Genomic DNA, 3,903 nt, shown 5'->3' with positions numbered 1-3,903 from the left:
TGTATGCATATATAAAAATATGTGTGTGTACATGCATATGTATGTGTATGTGTGTATGTGTGTATATGTATGTGTATGTATATGCATATGTATGTATGCATATGTGTGTATGTATGTGTTTGCATGTGAATGTGTAGGTACACGTGTGTGTGCATTGTGCATGTGTAGATATGTGTGTACATGTGTATATGTGTGTGCATGTGTATATGTGTATATGCATATGTATGTATGCATATGTGTGTATGTATGTGTGCATGTGAATGTGTAGGTACACACGTGTGTGTACATGTGTATGTGTGTGCATGTGTGTATATATGTGTGCATACATATATAAGTATGTGCATGTATATGCATATGCGTGTGTATATGTGTGTATGTATATGCATATGTATGTATGCATATGTGTGTATGTATGTGTGTGCATGAGACTGTGTAGGTACATATGTGTGTGTGCACTGTGCATGTGTATATGTGTGTGTATGCATGTGTATATATGATGTGTGAGCATGCACTCACACCAGTGTTTGTTCTCTCATCCTCCAACCCCCCGTTCCCGCCTGCACAGCCTCCTGGCCCCATTAGTCACAGAGGTGGCACCTCGTAAAGCTGCCGTCCCCTCACAACTCGCCGAGCCATCGTGCAGATTTACGGAGTGATGTCTGGGTGATTGACAAGTGCTGCTGCTTTACGGGGTGCGGCAGATGTCCACGCCGTATGACCAGAGCAATGGCCTTGCAAGCGCTTGTGGGAAAGCGTGGGGCTGGGGCCTGGAGAGGAGCAAAGTCCTCACTCTCAGAAAGGCCTGGTGCTTCCTGCCTTGGTCTCGTAGACCGAGACGAGGGGACAAAGCTAAAGGTCATAACATACGGGGCAGGACCAGGAAGAATCTGCCCTCTCAGCTCCTGACTCAGTGTCCTTTGCCCTGCTCCACTGCAGCTGAGAAGTGCTCACTGAGGATGAGCAACTTCATGCATTGCTTTACAATCTGTCCTTTCCCAAAGTAACAGGGAACCCAGCCGAGACCTTCCCTGATCTCTCACAGTGTGGCCTTGGAGGAGCTCTCTGGTGGGCAGTGGTACCAGCAGAGGCTCTGCGGACACCCAGGAGGGCAGGCTGGAGCTCACAGGGTGTGGGTCACGTCTGTGATTCCCACCATGTCCTGCCTTCTCCAAGTCAGCTCCTCTCCCCCAGGTCAGGAAGGGCCTTTGTCATCTCTGCATGCCAGTGACTCTGAGCACCACTCCAGTGCCTGGCAGATGGGCCATGATTACTGGTGGAATTGCATTGGCAAAGCAGACAGGAGGGAGCACAGGGGTTCCCTGGAGTGTGGATGGAGCCCTCACCTGGGCTGTGCATGGATAGAGCTGCATCTGAGCCTGGCTTGCAGACTCAATCCCGAGGCAGTGCCAGGCACCATGGAGGATGAGCAGAGACGCCTCAGCCAGTCTTGGGGGTGAGGGAAGGTTTTCTAGAGGAATCAAGAGCTCACCTGAGATCAGAGGGATGAGAAAAGCTGGCTTCAGAGGGAGGAGGGGTGGGGAGCGAGTGCTGACCAGCCAGGCCTACATGCTCAGGGACGCAGCAGGCAGCAAAACAGCCAGGGCCCTGTTTCAGGAGCGTGGGGAACTTAGCCTGGCTCAGGCAGCATCAGGGCAGGGAGAGGCAGTGAGAGAGGAGGCTGCAGGGGACCTGGAGCCATCAGAAGGTCTCACTGTCATCCTGGGGGCACTGGGAAGGCGCATGAAGGGGAAGGCAGGGACAGGACAAATCGTTCCTTTGGAAGAATCATTTGGCCACAGTGGGGGGCACAGGCTGGAGGGGCAGGACCAGACTTCAGGCCACAGAGGACACTGGTGCAATAGAACAGGTGTGGCAAACAGTGCCCAGCGGGGGCAGGTGTGTGGGGAAAGGAGAGGAGGTGCAGCAGCACTGGGCAGTGGGCTTGGAGGATGGTGGGAAGATGAGACACCAGGTCTGCCTGGACCGTTGGTTTCCATGATTTCCTCCATGGCATGGCTCGCAGCAATAGAGCCCAGGCCCCCTTAACTCCCACCCCAGTGCATTTCATGTCACTCCACACGCTCAGGCCATGAGCCTGGACCCTGGTGTCTGGCTGCAGGGTCCCCACTAAGTGTCATTGATGTGGCCAGCATAGGCTCCTCCCCTTCCTGCCTACCCTAATTGACTGTAAAATAAGGAAAGTGCCAGTCCCTTCCTCCTCGGGACGCGGCATCACGGTGCAGACACAGAGCATCTCTGAGCCATGCCTGGGACCTGGGAGCCCTCCTCACCATCATCGTCTCAGCTCATTTGGACTGTTGAGAGCAGGGCGTGCTCCCCTCTTCTCTCAGAAAGACCCCCTGCAAAACTCAGCAGCGGGTCCTTCCTCATCTGGACCCAGATCAGCCCGCTTCCTTCCTTATGGGATCCCGGGGGCTGAGCCTGGTGCGTCTCGCTCCGAGTCCCTCCCTCCCAGGGGCTGCTCTGGGAGCCTTGCTGGCATTCCTGTCCCTTAGGTAACCAGGGTTCCTCACTGCTGTGAACATCAGCCATGATTCAGAAAGGAGCTGGAATTGGCGTGGGATCCTGAAGGAGCCTGGACAGCAGGCAGCAGAGTGAGGACCCCCCGAAGGGTGTGCCCCGCACAGTAAGGAAGGAAGTGAGTTTGGGCGAGCTTTGGGTTGTGCTGGGAGGGTGGGTGGGAAGGCGGAAGTGTGGGCAATGATGGAGGGTGGCACTCCGAGGTCCCACAGTCACGGGGAGACACATGGCACCTTAGAGCAGGGGGCGAGGTGGACAGCAGTGTGCCCAGGGAAGCGCCGCAGTAGGGAGGCCAACAGGGGCTATTTCTTTGTTGAGATGAGACTGGAGCCCAAAGTGGGAGGGTGGCGGAAGGGCAAAGGGGGAAGCGCATGACCATAGCGCAGAACAGAGTCTCGAGGTCTAGGCAACCAATCAGGCTATGAAAGGTGGTGCAGACTCCCAGGGGCTCCGAGGCCAGGACCTGGGGGCCTGCGAGCATCAGTCTGAGAACAGCACCACCCTGATGCGGATAAGGAGAAGCTCCTTCTGCTCTTAGTTCAATCATCAGACGCCTTCAGCGAACCCATGGACAGGCTGGACCGAAGCTTCTCCTCCCTGCACCTGGGATTGTGCAAGTCTCTGAAATTCTTTGACATCTTTTGGAAAAGCACTTTTAATTACAAGGCAGTTGTTTTCCAGTATTTTTAGTTTGAGATATGCTCACTAGTCTGTGAGCTTCTGGAAATCTGGGACCATATCTCACCACGCCTTGCTCCAGCCATCTCCTGGGAAGCACAGACCATCCTAAGTGCTCATTAAAACCTTCCTGAATGAACACACTAGTACAGCCGCTATGGAAAACAGCGTGGAGATTGCTTAAAGAACTAAAAGTAAATCTATCATTTGATCCAGCAATCCCACTACCGGGTACCTACCCAGAGGAAAAGAAGTCATTATTTGAAAAAGATACACACGCATGTTTACAGCAGCACAATTCACAATGGCAAAATCGTGGAACCACCCCAAATGCCATCAATCAACGAGTGAATAAAGAAACTGTGGTATATATACACAGTGGAATACTACTCAGCCATAAAAAGGAATGAATTAACAGCATTTGAAATGACCAGGATGAGACTCGAGACTATTGTTCTAAGGGAAGTAACTCAAGAATAGAAAACCAAACATCGTATGTTCTCATTGATATGTGGGAGCTAAGCTATGAGGACACAAGGCATAAGAATGATACAATGGACTTTGGGGACTTGGCGGGAAGGGTGAGAGGGGGGCGAGGGATAAAAGACAACATATATGGTGCAGTGGACGCTGCTCGGGTGATGGGTGCACCAAGATCTCACAAATCACCGCTAAAGAACGTAC

This window comes from Homo sapiens, chromosome 2 (genome assembly GCF_000001405.40).
Source record: "Homo sapiens chromosome 2, GRCh38.p14 Primary Assembly".
NCBI lineage: Eukaryota > Metazoa > Chordata > Mammalia > Primates > Hominidae > Homo > Homo sapiens.
This window is presented reverse-complemented; position numbering follows the sequence as displayed.